At 37.2% G+C, this 16,619-nt stretch overlaps 1 protein-coding gene across 16 annotated transcripts in view; it reads left to right on the top strand.

Moving 5' to 3' along the window:
- LRP6 (LDL receptor related protein 6) overlaps positions 1 to 16,619 on the top strand; it is a 151,020-nt gene that overhangs the window by 116,212 nt on the left and 18,189 nt on the right. For 14 of the 16 annotated variants that reach the window (NR_182264.1, XR_002957325.2, NM_002336.3 and 11 more), the window contains 4 exons: positions 1,680 to 1,891; positions 3,277 to 3,467; positions 12,299 to 12,508; positions 15,533 to 15,658. Coding sequence is in view for 14 of the 16 variants with exons in the window: in NM_002336.3 (NP_002327.2) it covers positions 1,680 to 1,891; positions 3,277 to 3,467; positions 12,299 to 12,508; positions 15,533 to 15,658 (739 nt within the window). In the remaining 2 variants the exon portion in view is untranslated. Of the gene's footprint in view, positions 1 to 1,679; positions 1,892 to 3,276; positions 3,468 to 11,276; positions 11,370 to 12,298; positions 12,509 to 15,532; positions 15,659 to 16,619 lie in introns of all 16 variants that reach the window. The other 2 variants (NM_001414244.1, NM_001414251.1) reach the window with 2 other exon arrangements.

Here is a 16,619-nt window from a genome sequence, read left to right as displayed (position 1 = left end):
ATTGAGAGCTTGGTTCAAAATTCATTTCTCCTGACTAATAACTGGACTCACCAACCACTCTGTTTCACTTAAGTCTTGACTCTGCTTAAGTGTGTGTGTATGTGTGTATGAAACTGAAATTCTGGACCTAGTAGCTTATTTTTTCCTTCTGACGATATTTTGAGTAAGCAATTGTTTGATGATGATATTATGATGAAAATTGTTAGGCGTACTTAAGCTGTTGTGTTGGTAATGGCTTTGTGACTGCCCCCTACGTTTCTTTATGAAGTCTTTTTCCTTACATTTCTATTGTATGGAGTATTAGAAGCCTTGAAATAGGCCTTGGTTCTGATTCCAGCTCTATCCCTCACTTAGGATTCTTAGGAACTTTTTTAGCTGAAAAGAATGCAAAGCACATAGCTCTTATGTGTTATGTAACAGGAACTCAATAAATAACGGTTACATTACTAATTAACTATTATTTAAAAGGTTCAGAGGATATGAAACATATAACACAATCTCAGTAGGGTTAAAAACATCTAACATGTTATTAATCCAGTGGGTTTTTTTGGTCATAATTATATGGTGACTGTGGGATGGGAATGAGGATATTATCAATAAATCTTACCCATTTACATGCCAATTATGGATTTACACATCACTATCGATACTTCTTTGCTTGCTTTCTGTGGCCGAGCCCTGTCAGACTGGGATTATAATACTATAAATAATTACTTGTTGTCATCCTCATAGCAGTGATCGTAAGTTGTATCTTGAATGTATTAAAATTTAGGGAAGTTAGAGTACCGTTTTTCACTATGTCTCATCTTAAAATAAAGACCAAGGAGGTAATATATTTAGGGCTGCTGAGAGATCATTTAGGGTATAGTAATAGCTGTGTATTCCAGACACACTTTCCACCATATAGGCCAGGACTGATGGGCTGATAACTAATAGATAGAAATTAAGGAATATGTTACTTCAGAGATACCAGTAAGATACAGTTCAGATGGCACAAATGGACAAAGCCTCTCTTTTTGCTTGACTTTATTGTAAAAAAATTGCATGTGTAGACTTGAGGATCAGAAAAGGAGATGACTTGATTTGTAGCCTTTACTAGTTGCTGTTATCTCTAGAGCAGGGTTTCTCAAGCACTGTGGTCGTTTTGGGCTGGATTAATTGTTTGTTGTGGGGGGCTGCTCGGAATATTGTAGGATGTTTAACAGCATCCCTGGTCTCTGCCTGCTAGTTACCAGTTGTATTCCCACAGTCGTGACAGTAAAAAATGTCTTCATACATTGCCAAATGCCCATGGCGGGGCAATATTGCCTCTAGTTGCAATCCGCTGCTTTAGAGATATTTCTAGGGTGTGGTTTTAGCCACAGTTGTCTCCAGTTTAGAGAAGATAGTTGCCACCTTCTCACTCCCATCTCTTAATCAAGGCATTATCAGGTTCTTGGAGCAACTAATCTGACCTCAGCTCTTTTTTTCAGCAGCAGGATAACCCAAGGAACATTTGAGATGTGTATTAACAAAGAAGCACATTACCCATAAAAAAAGGTATCAGTAAGAAATACTCCTTAAGACTTGAGAGAGCCTTCTCAGCTGTGTGCCCATGTAGGTGTAAGCATTGTGACTGATTGCCTCAGGGTTATCTGCCCCTGGAGTTTAATTTTCTCTGTATTTCTTTTTTTCCCTAGGGCTTTACTGTGGTTGTGAGCTCAGTTCCGAGTCAGAACCTGGAAATACAACCCTATGACCTCAGCATTGATATTTACAGCCGCTACATCTACTGGACTTGTGAGGCTACCAATGTCATTAATGTGACAAGATTAGATGGGAGATCAGTTGGAGTGGTGCTGAAAGGCGAGCAGGACAGACCTCGAGCCGTTGTGGTAAACCCAGAGAAAGGGTATGTTACTAAAGTGGCGTTCAGATACTGTGGCTTCTGAGACTCTCCTCACCCTTCTTTTTCAGCCTGTTATTTATTTACCTTTAAGTGTCCTGTGCTCCAGCAAACAATTCAATATTCTCTATCAGTTTGTTTCTGCATTATCTTAACAGTTGTCTTACACTTTCTCTGATTTCACTGCCCAGACTTTCTTTCCTGGGCCACTAGTGCTTTAATTCTAAGTCTTAACCACACCTCCAGGACCATTTCAACTGCCACGTCCTCCAGGAAGTTTTCCTCGATCTACCTCATCCCAGCCAGATGTGATTTTTGCCCCCTCCTGAATACTCAGTACTCTGTATCTGTGCCTCTCTAAGTTATACTTAGTCCTTTCCAATTTACGTTACTTTTAATTATTTTTTAGTCTTGTATTTACCACTAGACATCAGTTTTCTTTATGATGAGAACTAGTATGCTTTCTTTCATTTAATAAAGAGCTTTGCATTTAATAAATACTCAATAATCAGTTGTATCTGAGTCAATGATAAGGTATTCAGCAAGTAAAGTAGCTTACTTCAAAAGAGAGGAAAAGGATGAAATCTAGACGTTAAATATAAGAAGTGATTTATATGTAACTTCTTTTTAGTTATTAAATAGATTAATTAGAAAGAATTTAAAATTTTGTGTTAAGGTCTCTCTAGTCACTGATCTTTAATTTGTCGTATTATTCTGAAAACATATGTGTGCCTATGTCTAACACTATTCTGTTAATCTATGAAAGCTCCCTAATAACTTCTGTGTACCTTTGTTGCTACTATTAAAAGTAGTAAAAGTGTCCCATGACCTTTTAAAAATGTAAATATATAAATAGATATGTATATATTTATAAAAGGATTTTTATCTATACACATTTATTTATATAAAAGAGGATTTATATATATATACACATATATATTTATATAAAAGAGGATATATATATATATATTTGGATACAAGGTTTGGCTCGATCACCCAGGCTAGAGTGCAGTGACACAATCTCAGCTCACTGCAACCTCTGCCTCCTGGGCTCAAGTGATCCTCCCACCTCAGCCTTCCAAGTAGCTGGGACTACAGGCACACGCCACCATGCCTGGCTAATTTTTGGGGTATTTTTTGTAGAAATGGGGTTTTGCTGTGTTGCCCAAGCTGGTCTCTCACTCATAAGCTTAAGCAATACCCCCGCCTCAGTCTCCCAAAGTGCTGAGATTACAGGCATGAGCCACTGTGCCTGGTCAAAAAATACGTATTTTAAAACTTTTAAAAACAATACTTAAAAATACTCTACCTCCATTTGTCTTAATAAGAATATCCTCATTTTATGTGGTTTCTTACTCCAGTAACTTATTTTTTTCCTCCTTTCCCTCTAGGTATATGTATTTTACCAATCTTCAGGAAAGGTCTCCTAAAATTGAACGGGCTGCTTTGGATGGGACAGAACGGGAGGTCCTCTTTTTCAGTGGCTTAAGTAAACCAATTGCTTTAGCCCTTGATAGCAGGCTGGGCAAGCTCTTTTGGGCTGATTCAGATCTCCGGCGAATTGAAAGCAGTGATCTCTCAGGTACCCAAGAAATATGTTTCCTTATTTTAATTTGAGTTTTTAAGATGATTCATCTATTGTGTTTTTCTTGCATCGTATTGTTTTTGGCACATTTCTTGGCAGTTTTATTCATTAAATGTAGTCAGCATCAGGTTGGTTGGTGAAGAGCTTTTTCTTCAACTGTCAACATGATTACTCCTCTGTTACTTAACTACCTGCCAGTTTTCTTGATCTTGGTTCTGTAAATAATATATTTCTTTTTTTTTGAGACGGAGTCTTGCTTTATCGCCCAGGCTGGAATGCAGTTCCCGGGTTCACGCCATTCTCCTGCCTCAGCCTCCTGAGTATCTGGGACTACAGGCACCTGCCACTGCGCCCAGCTAATTTTTTCTATTTTTAGTAGAGACAGGGTTTCACCGTGTTAGCCAGGATGGTCTCGATCTCCTGACCTTGTGATCCACCCGCCTCGGCCTCCCAAAGTGCTGGGATTACAGGCGTAAGCCACCGCGCCCGGCGTAAATAATACATTTCTAATGCATCCTTTCCTAACTCTTCTGCTCTAGTTTATGTTCTTGTCATCTGTGGCCAAATCCTAGCCTCTGGTTGATCTCCCTGCCAGTTTTTCTCCATGAAAGTTTACACATGGCTCCTAAATTTTCTGAAGCATGGTTTTAATGTCACTGCTTTACTTAAAAAATCTTCAGGGTAGTTTCATAACCTGTAGGAAAAAAGTCTAGTTGTACTCTTAAGTTGGTATAAGTTAGTATTCACCTTTCACAACCTCATCGTGGCGTTTACCTTTCTGGTATTTTAACCAAATTAAATTATTTGTTCGTCTTAAGATATACTTTTACTTTCACATTTCTCTGCAATCTTATGTCTGTAATTATAATTACCTCCTCTGTCCCCAATTTCTGATGTCCATATAGTCTGTGTTGGCCTCCCTAGTGATCAGGTAAATGAAATTAAAATATACTATTTGTGTCTGTCAGCATGGCAAAAATATGTTAACGTTGATTATTGCCTAGCATTGGCCAGTATGGTAGAAAATTACATGCCCTCATGTGCTTTGGTGGAAGTGGAAATTGATAGAGCCTTTTTAGAGGACAATTTGCCAGTAATAATCAAAATTTAAAATATGCATTCCCTTTGATCTGGTGATTTCCTTTGTAGATAGCTGTCTTAGAGAAAGACCGATGTAAGTGTATAAGGGTATTTGCTGAGCATTATTTGTGATAGTCCTTCATGGAGAAATACATTCTATCAGTGTATGGAATATTACAGTCATTCAAAAGAATAAGGTAGATCTGTGTGCACTAACATGAATGATTTTTAAAAATTAAATTTCAGAAAAATTCTTAAGATCTAGTTTTGTTTAAAATTTGAAACCGTATAGTATATACACTGTGTATACACAGTGTATGTATATATACCGTTAAGAAATGTGGGAACTCAGGCCAGGTGTGGTGGCTCATGCTTGTAATCTCAGCACTTTGAGAGGCCGAAGAGGGTGGATCACCTGAGGTCAGGAGTTTGAGACCAGCCTGGCCAACATGGCAAAATGCTGTCTCTACTAAAAATACAGAAAATAGCCAAGCATGGTGGTGGGCACCTGTAATCTCAGCTACTCGGCAGGCTGAGGCAGGAGAATCGCTTGAACATGGGAGGCGGTGGTTGCAGTGAGTCAAGACGGCGCCACTGCACTCCAGCCTGGGTTATGGAACGAGAACGAGACTGTCTCAAAAAAAAAAAAAAAAAAAAAGAAAAAGAAAAAAGAAATGTGGGATCTCAGATCTCAGATCTTCAGATCTCAGGTTCTTCAACAAAGAGAGAGAGGGAAAGAGAGAAGGGGGAGGGAGGGAGGGAGGGAGGGGAGAGAGGAGAGGGGAAAAGAAACAGACATACATGTCAGTATTTTCCTCAAGAAATAAGCAAATATATCTCAAGTCTGGAGCATTAGCATACTAAAATGTTGAGACTGCTTACTCCTGTATCATGTACATTTTTGTATGTTTGAATACATTTATAATTATTTTAATCTTTTTTTCACATTTTTTTTAATGTCTTCAGGTTCAAATGCCTCCCTTCCATTATGTATTCTCTGATTCCAGACAGTTAGGCACACACTTACGCATGTATAGTTACACGCCTGGTATAGTATATTCTTTCCCTCATCTGATCTCCTCTGTCTCTTATATCACCTCTAATTTTTTTTTCTGGGTACCTAATGCATTTATGTCTTTTGAATAATTGTTTTTTCCAAAATTCACCTTCTGTTGCAATCTGAATGTATTAGGTTGGTGCAAAAGTAATTGCAGTTTTTTTTTTAATTATAAGTTTTAGGATACATGTGCACAATGTGCAGGTTTGATACATAGGTATACATGTGCCCTGTTGGTTTGCTGCACCCATTAACTAGTAATTTACATTAGGTATTTCTCCTAATGCTATCCCTCCCCTAGCCCCCCACCCCCCGACAGGCCCCAGTGTGTGATGTTCCCCACCCTGTGTCCAAGTGATCTCATTGTTTAATTCCCACCTGTGAGTGAGAACATGTGGTGTTTGGTTTTCTGTCCTTGTGATAGTTTGCTGAGAATGATGGTTTCCAGCTTCATCCATGTCTCTGCAAAGGACATGAACTTATCCTTTTTTATGGTTGCATAGTATTCCATGGATATCACCTCTCATTTGTACATTAGTTACTTATGTCAATATTTTAAACTATCTTTTGTTTTTATTTTTGTTTGAGAAAGGGTTTTGCCCTGTCACCCAGGCTAGAGTACAGTGGTGTGATTATAGCTTGCTGCAGCCTCAAACTCCCTAGCTCAAACAGTCCTCCTGCCTCAGCTTCCTGAGTAGCTAGGACTATGGGCACACACCACCACACCCGGCTAATTTTATTTTTGTAGAGATGGGGGTCTTGCTGTGTTGCTGAGGCTAGTCTCAAACTCCTGGGCTCAAGTGATCCCCCTGCCTTGGCCTCCCAAAGTTCTGGGATTACAGGCATGAGCCACCATGCCTGGCAGGCAGGTCTGTGATAAAGCTCTTCATGAAAATGTTTCATTCATTACAATTAATTTTGTCCCACTGCTGCAATGAGCCATGATCATGATTGCACCACTGCACTCCAGCCTGGCCAATAAAGCCGAGACCCTGTCTCAAAAAATAACCCAAAACTGGTAACTTGAAAGTTTATTGTTGTATAGGAATTCTTTGTACATTCTAGATATGAATCCTTTGTCAAGATATATACTGCATAAATCTCCCAGTTTGTGATTTACCTTTTTTATTCTCCCAGTAGTATCTTTAGATGAAAAGAAAGGTCCTAATTTTAATGTAGTACAGTTTATTAATTTTCTTTTTACGGTTAACATCTTTTATGTTGTTTAAGAAATCTTCATGGGAGTTGAGGGATGAGAAATTACTTAATGCGTACAACGTACACTATGGTTTTACACTAAAAGCTCACACTTCACACTTGTACACATCATAGATACATAGTATATATCCATGTTAAAAAAACTTGTACCACATAAATGTATAGCAATAAGAAAAAAGAAAGAAATGTTTGTCTTCTGCAAAGGTACAAAAAGATACTTTAGTTTTTTCCCTGAAATTTCTTCATTTAACTTTTCTTATTGGGATCTGTAATCCATCTGGAATTGATTTTGGTGTGTAGTGTGAGGCAGGGGTTAAAATGCATTTTTTTCCACATTACTGTTGGATTCAGCATCATTTACTGGAAAGACTGTCCTTTCCCTACTACTCTGTAGTATCACCTTGGTCATAAATGAGGTGACTGTATTTGTGTGTGTTTGTTTCTAGACTCTGATGTTCCCTTGGTCACTTTGCCTTTACTTATATTATACTGTCAATTATTATAACTGCAATAGATTCATCTGTGTCTTCAGTATTTTTTCAGGATTACCTTGGCTATTGTTAACTACCGCAATTTCCATGTACATTGTAGAATCAGCTTGTGAGTTTCCCCTTCCAAAAAAAATCACATACTAAGATGTTCATTGGGTTTGCATTAAATTGATAGTTTAGAGAGAATTATTATCTTTATAATATTAATCTTCTAAACCATGATCATGGTAAATCTCCCTGTTTATTTAGATCTTTAATTTCTCTTAATGTTTTATAATTTTCAGCATAGAGGTCTTGCCTATCTTTCATTAGAGTTGTTATTCCTTCTTATTTGGTGCTTTTAAACGCTAGTGGTAAAGACTATTCTAAACTTAATGTTTTATTTTCTAATTGTGCCTGGAATATGGAAATACAATTTCTTTTTTTCTCCTTCTAGCATATTAGCTTGTACCACAGGACCATGCTAAGTATACTTATCTTTAGGATTTTTTATGTTATAGAATCATGTTTCTTCAAATAATGAGAGTTGTGTTTTTTTCTTTCCTTATACTGGCTGGGGTCCCCCAGTACAGTGTTGAATAGGATGATAATAGAATCCTTTTTTGTTGTTGTTGTTTTCTAGGTCTTGGAGAAGCATTCAGTACTTTTGTGATTAAGTATTCTTTGCTAAGGTTTTTCTGTAGATAACCTTTGTCAAATTAAGGAATTTACTTACTTTCCCCAGTTTACTGGGATAAATAAAATCTAGCATGATATATTATTCTTTTTTTTATTGCTGGATTTGATTTGCTAATGTTTTGAGATTTTTTTTAATCTACGCTCATGAGAAGGATTACCTTATAATTTTCTTTTCTTGTCAGGTATTTGTTGGTGTTTTGCCATCAAGGCTTTGTTGGCCACATAAAAAGAAATGTTTGTTCTTTTTCTATTCTCTGAAAAAGGTTACTGTCAAGTTGATTTTTTTTTTCTTACGTATTCACAGATAATTATGCTTTCATCCTGGGACCTTTTTCTATTTCGTATTTGTAGCCACCCACATAGCCTTTTATAGCGAATTGCATCCAGTGCATGCTTAGTTTGTTGAATAAATAAGCATATCTTTTCCTTGTTGGTTCCAGTAGCTTACTTATTTTTCACCAGCATCAAAGTAGATCAGGTCCTTACCATATCTGGGGGCCTGCAGTGACACTATTGACTTCCTTTTTTACCCAGTTGTCTACCTCAGACCATCCTTTCATTACCGCCAGCTAATCTTTAAAAATCATTCTTCTTTATTGTTTAATTTTAATTTTCATTAAAGTAATACATGTAAATATTATGGATATCAAACTGTTCTACCTGGCTTGTAACAAAAAACAAGCCTACTGCTCTACTCTGCTGCTCTCAGTTCCCATGCTTAGAAGCATTCACAACTATTTTCACTTATTTTAAAATAAACTTGCTTAAAAATGCTATTTCTTGATTTTTCTCTTTTAGACGTTAAACATTGACTTCCTTTGGAAGATAAAGATTTTGCTATCTTAAACCATATGTCGCCAAAATACACGTGTGAATTTTCTTTCCATCCTCCCCAGCATAGTTATGAACTTTCCAGAATTCGAGGCACAAGTTTGCAGATAGAAAGGACCCACCTGTGACTAGTGCCATAATTTTTTTAAGTCTAGACTTAATTACTTATTATTTATGGCTATGAACATATTACTGTTAGGTACATTTCTTTCTAAAACTTTTTTCCTCCCTGCAGAGTTAATACTTGTGTAATGTAAATATTGTTTCAATAAATGGATATGCATCAAGCAGTCCATCTATTTGTCTTCATAATTAAAATCACATCTCTGGGTTTCTTCATCATCTTGCTGCAGTCTGGATTTGCTTGGTTTCTAGGCTAACTTCATTTCTCCATTGTCCTGGGAGTATACAGATGCTGAACCTGCTATTTCCTGGACTCCATTTCTTCTGGTTTTCTTAAGAGAGACCATTTTCTAGCAGCTTCTTGAAAGGGGCTCATCATAAAAGGTTAAAATTCTTGATCTTGTTTGAATTTTTTTTCCTCCTCACACTTGGTTGATAATTTGCTTTCATGTTTTATAGCTGTTTTCTCTCAGAATTTCGAAAATAGAACTCCATTGTCTTTGAGCATCTTGTGTCATTGGGAAGTTTGATGTGACTGTGATTTCAGTCTTTGTATGCTGTCCTTTTCCTTTTTCCTCCAGAAGCTTTTAACATGTTCTTTCCCCTCAATGTCCTAGAATTTGATACTGTGCCTTTGTTTGATTCCTCCCTTCTTTCCTTTTTTCTTTCTCTCCACTCTCCCTCCCCCAGCCCTTTCCTCTTCCCCTTTCTCATCATTCCCTTCTTTTCCCCTTCTCCTTCCCCTTCTTTCCCTTCTTCTTCCTTTCTAGTCCTTTTCCCCTTGAGCTTGGGGGAAGCATTCAATACTTTGTGATTAAGTATTCTTTGCTAAGGTTTTTCTGTAGATAACCTTTGTCAAATTAAGGAATTTAACTTCTTTTCTCAGTTTGCTGGAATAAATAAAATTTAGCATGGTACATTCTTTTTATTTATTGCTGGATTTGATATGCTAATGTTTTGTTTTAAGATTTATTTTTTTAATTGGCCAGGTGCAGTGGCTCACGCCTGTAATCCCAGCACTTTTGGAGGCTGAGGCGGGCAGATCATGAGGTCAGGAGTTCAAGGCCAGCCTGGCCACCATGGTGAAACCCCATATCTACTAAAAATACAAAAATTAGCCTGGCATGGTGACGGGTGCGAGTAATCCCAGCTACTCAGGAGTCTGAGGCAGGAGAATCACGTGAAACCGGAAGGTGAAGGTTGCAGTGAGGCGAGATTGAGCCACTGCACTCTAGCCTGGGCGAAAGAGCAAAACTCCGTCTCAAAAAAAAAAAAAAAAGATTTTTAAAATCTATGCTCGTGCTTTCCCTTCCCCTTCCCTTCCTTCTCATTGAACTGGTTACTAGGTTGATCCTTTCTGTCTAGAAGTCTACACCTTAAATTCTGGAATGTTTTCTTGTGTTGTTTCTTTGATAATTTATTTTTCATTTTCCTATTTTGGAGCTTTTTATTTTTATGCTGAACCTTCTTGACTGTAGCTGTATTTTTCTCACCTATTATCCATCTCTTTGTGTTTTTGTTATACTTTCTGAGGAGAGCTTCTCAAATTTGTCTCCCAACCCTCTTGTTGCATTTTTCTTTGAAATTTTTGGATATCATGTTTTTAATTTCCAAGGGCTCTTTTTTGTTCTCCAAATGCTCTGCCCCTCTGAAGACAGCCTATTCTTTAGGTTTTTTGTTTTTTTTTTAATTGGTATTTATTTGTTTTCTTCTGCTTTTGTGTCTTTTTCTCCAAGTTCCTTTGTTGTGTTTGTCTTGGGCTTCAAATTTAAAGATAGAGGTTTTCTTTAAATATTTGGTGATCCTTAGCTGTTTGTATTTAGTATGAGGCTTAAAAATACTGAGAACATTGCTGTGTAATTTCTTACACATATTTTCAATTAGTACTCCTCTTTCAGCCCCAGCCACATAACTCCTACCTTTGTTCCATTCTAAAATACCTGGTGCTTCCACTTTCTGAGCTAATTAATTTCATTGTTAGCTTCACTGGCTGTAGGCCTTTAGCTTTCTCTGGGCTACTGTGTCATTATCCCTGGTCTATCTATTCTCCAGCTTCCAAAATTTATATCACTTTCCTGCTCTCTTCTGTTCTTCTGCCTTCTTTGTCCTTATGGGTTTATACCTTCAAAATTATTTTCTTTTTCTTTCTTTCTTTTTTTTTTCCTGAGACAGGGTCTCACTCTGTCACCCAGGCTGCAGTGCAGTGTGAACTTGGCTCACTACAGCCTTGACCTCCCTGGCTCAAGGAATTCTCCCATCTCAGCCTCCTGAGTACCTGGACTACAGGCGCATGCCACCATGCCTGGCTAATTTTTATATTTTTTGTAGAGATGGCATTTTGCCATGTTGCCCAGGCTGATGTCGAACTCCTAGGCTCACGTGATCCTCCTGCCTCAGCCTCCCAGATTACTGAGATTACAGGTGTGTGCCACTGCACCCGGCCTAAAATTTTTTCAATCACCATATTAGTAGAGTTTTAGGAGAGAATATATAAGTAAACTTGTGCTTAGCCTACCATCTGAATGTTGACTCAGGCAATGCCTTCCCATCTGGAATATCTCCCCACTTTTCTTCATTTATTAAAAAGTTGGCATTTTGCTTGCCTCTTTCCTGAAACTTTCCTTGATACTTCCAAAATATCAGCTAATGTCTTTGTTTGACTGAACTCATGACTTAGGAACCGTGAACTTTCTATAAATATTTGAAGGACTGTTATGAAAAAGAAGGAATGAGTATATTTTTTCTTTTTGAGTGAGGGAGAAACTGAATAAAGCAGGGTGGGGGGTATGAACACAGATTTTAGCCCACTGTATAAAAGAACTTTCTCACTGTGCAACAATAGCAGAAGTTGCCTCCTCAGAGTCTGGATGACTCTATGTCTGAGATGATTAGAAATAATTCTTACCTTGGGGTGAGTCAGTCATTTTTTCTAATTGTGTTCTGAGAAGCCAGGTGGGGTGAGAGTGAAGCTGTTCTTCATAAATGCCTCAGGTATACTCAGAACTCTGGGTCCACCACCACTGCTCCTCCAGAGAAGTGCCATTTTTATCTGTTGTATATATAAGTTAGGGTTTTTCAAACTACTGTTCTAAGTTCTTTTCTACATTTCTATGAACTAGAATATTTACTGCACATTGGGCACTTACTTGCTCTTGATTGCATATTAATATCTAGTTTATTGGCTGTTTTCTAGTGTATGTCTTACCATGATTTTTAAGTTTTGTGGTAGAGATCTTGTTTTTTTTTTCTTTTCTCTACCTGTAGAATCTAACTGGTAGTCAGTAAATAATTACCAAAAGTATAACTTGACCCACATGAGTCATTTCTGTTGAATTTTCTCCTTTTCCAAGGTGCTAACCGGATAGTATTAGAAGACTCCAATATCTTGCAGCCTGTGGGACTTACTGTGTTTGAAAACTGGCTCTATTGGATTGATAAACAGCAGCAAATGATTGAAAAAATTGACATGACAGGTCGAGAGGGTAGAACCAAAGTCCAAGCTCGAATTGCCCAGCTTAGTGACATTCATGCAGTAAAGGAGCTGAACCTTCAAGAATACAGTAAGTGTTAATGGGATAAAGCTAATTGGAGGAATCATGTGTTATAATAAATTAATATGTACTTTTGTGGATTTTTAAACTCTGTTTCCTTGAAGACTTTCATGCACTTTTAGTTTTGCCATTTTTTTGAACTCTCCATGCTTTTTTTTTTTTGGAGACGGAGTCTCACTCTGTCGCCCAGGCTGGAGTGCAGTGTCACGATCTTGGCTCACTGCAGCCTCTGCCTCCCGGGTTCAAGTGATTCTCATGCCTCAGCCTCCAGAGTAGCTGGGATTACAGGTGCATGCCACCATGCCTCGCTAATTTTTTTTTTTTTTAATTTTTAGTAGAAGCAGGGTTTCACCATGTTGTCCAGGCTGATCTCGAACTTCTGACTTGAAGTGATCTGCCCACCTTGGCCTCCCAAAGTGCTGGGATTACAGGTGTGATCCACCACACCCAGCCTCTTCATGCTTTTAAAGCCTTATGTCAACCTTACCCGGGAGCTTTTCCAAATTAAACATAATCTCATAAACCAGAAATGGGGGAAAGGCATGGGTCTTGCCTGTTAAAAAAGAATATTTCCTGGTACAACAATGACTGCTTATCATGCCTTGTTTTTCTCTCCTTCAGTTCCTTTGGGAATACTGATAACATAAAGCATCTATTTCTTTTCTTCCCTCTCTATACTTCCCCCCATAGCTTGAAAAAAAGTAAAAATTATATAATGATGAATATAGTTATAATGGGTTAATCTTATTCTTAGGCAAAACAAACTAAAAATTAGTGTGTAAACATAGAGAAGACTCTGTTTAATTAGTAGGTGCTTGGTTTTTTTCCCCCCCTTTGGGATAAATATTTCAATTCCCAGCTTAGAAAAATAGCCATCTCCATGAGCCCCAGGAAAAAAGAAAAGTAGCCAGAAATATTTTCTTATTTTTTTTTGAAAATGGCTAGTCATCTTGGCCTAGTTCTTAATTCATATCTGTCATCAAAATTACCCTAATCATAGAGAGGAATAAATGAGTTTATATATGCAAAACGTTTTTTAAAAAGTGCCTTCCTAGCAGTCACTACTGTTGATCATACATGATGGTACCGGGGATGCCAATGTTAAATTGAGTATGAGAGAGACAATTATTGAAATTCTGTAACTTCTCAGCTCAGTGCTTTTAAATTGAATTTAAGCATGAAAGGAGAATGAAGAAACAGGAGTAGCCCTGTACAAGTGTTCATTATGTTGGTACAGTTCATGAATTTAGAAGTAAAGTTACAAGTAATTGAGAATTAGAAAGTTAAAAATTGTTGTCATTTTATGGTATGACTTGTAGCTCAGGCTGAACATTTAATAGAAATATGATAATGATATCATACCTAAGTTATTTATTTAGTCGATACATGAATATTTTATTACAGAAAATCTCAAGATTTTCAGAATTTCAAGGGAGAGGTTTTATTTAATAACTATTTAAATATGATTGTATATTAGGTAAATCATTTTTTCAAATTTCTAATATTAAAGAGAATGGGATTTTTATCAAAAATGTCATGGAATTAAAGGTTGAGAAACACTGCTACATAGACTGTATATTCTATATAATGTGTGATGTCTGTTTTGGACAGTATGCTCATTTGTAGATAGCTGACTCCCTCAGTCTCAACACAAACTGAAGCAGAACCAATGTTATTGTGGAAGAGAGTCAAATAATAAATGGTGGCTTATATTAGATGTTCATATTTTGTGACGACAGATGTCAAGTTGCTTTTAATACAGGCTAAACAGAAAATTCCAAACAATGATTCTTTAAAAATACAACTTGTGAAACAGACTTTGAAAAGTTGCCTAGTGGTTTCTTTACTTAGCCCATGTATGAGGAAGTTAGACATTTATAGTATTACAAGTTACCTTTTGCAGTTGACCAAATAATTTTGTTTCTGAATTGTTCTGTTACATGTGCCTTTTAAGTTTTTTTCTTCTAATAACTCTTTAATTCTCAATGGATTCCTCATTAAGATACACTTTTTGACTGAAGTTGTCTTTCAGATATACGGATTTTCTGAGTTAAAAATCTTAATATAGGAGAATTCTTATATTTTAAATAGAATAATACTCAAGTTTCAGCATTCTCCCTAGCAATTTTTTGTTGTTGTTTTTTGTAGAGATGGAGTCTTGCTCTGCCGCCCAGGCTGGAGTGCAGTGGCACTATCTTGGCTCACTGTAACCTCCGCCTCCCAGGTTCAAGCAATTCTTATGCCTCAGCCTCCCGAGTAGCTGGGATTACAGGTGCATGCCACCACACCCAGCTAATTTCTTTTGTATTTTAGTAGAGACGGGATTTCACTGTGTTGCCCAGGCTGGTCTTGAACTCCTGAGTTCAGGCAATCCACCTGCCGCAGCCTCCCAAAGTGCTAGGATTACAGGCGTGAGCCACCGCACCCGGCCTCTCCCTAGCAATTTTTTAGTTTCAGTAAACATTTCTTCATATTCACAAAAATTAAGATGAGCTTTACCATTATCTTAAAATATTTTATATATAAATATATAAGGACAGTGGTTAGATAGAAGTAGTTTCTTGTAGGTTGTGTAGAGATTGAGTGAAGAATCATATTGTGTGGAAATAAAAGTCCAAGCTGGACCAACCTGACCACCATGGTAAAATTCCATCTTTACTAAAAACGGAAAAATTGGCCAGGCATGGCGGCAGTCACCTGCAATCCCAGCTACTCGGGAGGCTGAGGCAGGAGAAGCACTTGAACCTGGGAAGCAGAGTTTGCAGTGAGCCAAGATCACACCACTGTACTCCAGCCTGAGCTACAGAGCAAGACTCTGTCTCAAAATAATAATAATAATAATAATAATAATAATGATAAAAGTAAAAAAAGTCCATAATAATAATAATAAAAGTAAAAAAAAAGAGTCCAAGCTGATTATACATTTGATTTTCATAAATAGTTTTGACAGGGTTGTCCCTTTTTCTCTTCTCTCCCACTTCTCTCCCCCTCCACTCCCCCTCCTCTCCCCATCCTCACCTCTTCTCTTTGCAGGACAGCACCCTTGTGCTCAGGATAATGGTGGCTGTTCACATATTTGTCTTGTAAAGGGGGATGGTACTACAAGGTGTTCTTGCCCCATGCACCTGGTTCTACTTCAAGATGAGCTATCATGTGGAGGTAAATATGTTGTAATTTTCTTGTGCAACCCTAAATGCAAACATATTCCATATCTTAAGCCTAGACTTCTATGACTAGGCATTGAAGTTGCTCTGTCTACTAACTTAATTGGTTGCGTGTGTTCCATTCATTTGTATTGTACTAGGCTTTTCTGTTATTCTTCTCTGCCACCCTGCCCAGCCTCATAATCATCATTTTACTCTGTTTCTTTGACTTTTTTACACTCCACGTGTGAGATCATGTAGTATTTGTGTTTCTATGCCTAGCTTATTTCACTTAACAGGATGACTTCCAGGTTCATCTGTGTTGTTGCAAATGACAGGATTTCCTACTTTTTTTGACTGAATAGTATTTCACTGCGTATATATTACCACACTTTTCAGCCTGTGAATGAGTATGCTTCCTAATATTAAAGTAGCCTCCCCCCTCTCCCAAAAGGTAAAAAAATGAATTAATTCTACCTCCTGTAATCTCTCTCCACTAAATTGTAGATTCTCTAAGTTTATGTGTCATTGTTGGGAATGTGTCTGATGGAAAGAATATTCTTTTGTTCAAATCCATCAGCAAATTCCTGTTGCTTCTTTATCTAGTAAAAAATGATTTTTTAAAAGATATCACTGAGTATAGTGATACTGTTGTAGTAAAATTGGTTTAATCACTTAGCAGGTTTAACAAATAGATACATTCCATTGTTAAATTATAGTATGATGGTATCAGGCACCACAATAGTATTCATACCCTTAATTCAGATATCCTCCTTTTGGGGATAATTCTAAGTTAATTCAACTGAAGGAAAAAGACTACATCATACTATTATCTACAGTGGCAGAAATTTTTAAATGAATTTCTAATGGTGTGAAAATTATTAAGTAAAATAACTGAGTTTATACAGCTATTAAATGTTATAATCATGAAGTTGATGTAAAAATGTTGCCAAAATGACAAGTACATAAAATATATA

This window comes from Homo sapiens, chromosome 12 (genome assembly GCF_000001405.40).
Source record: "Homo sapiens chromosome 12, GRCh38.p14 Primary Assembly".
Lineage (NCBI taxonomy): Eukaryota > Metazoa > Chordata > Mammalia > Primates > Hominidae > Homo > Homo sapiens.
The sequence above is the reverse complement of the archived record's forward strand: the minus strand, read 5'-3'. Positions and strand labels throughout refer to the sequence as shown.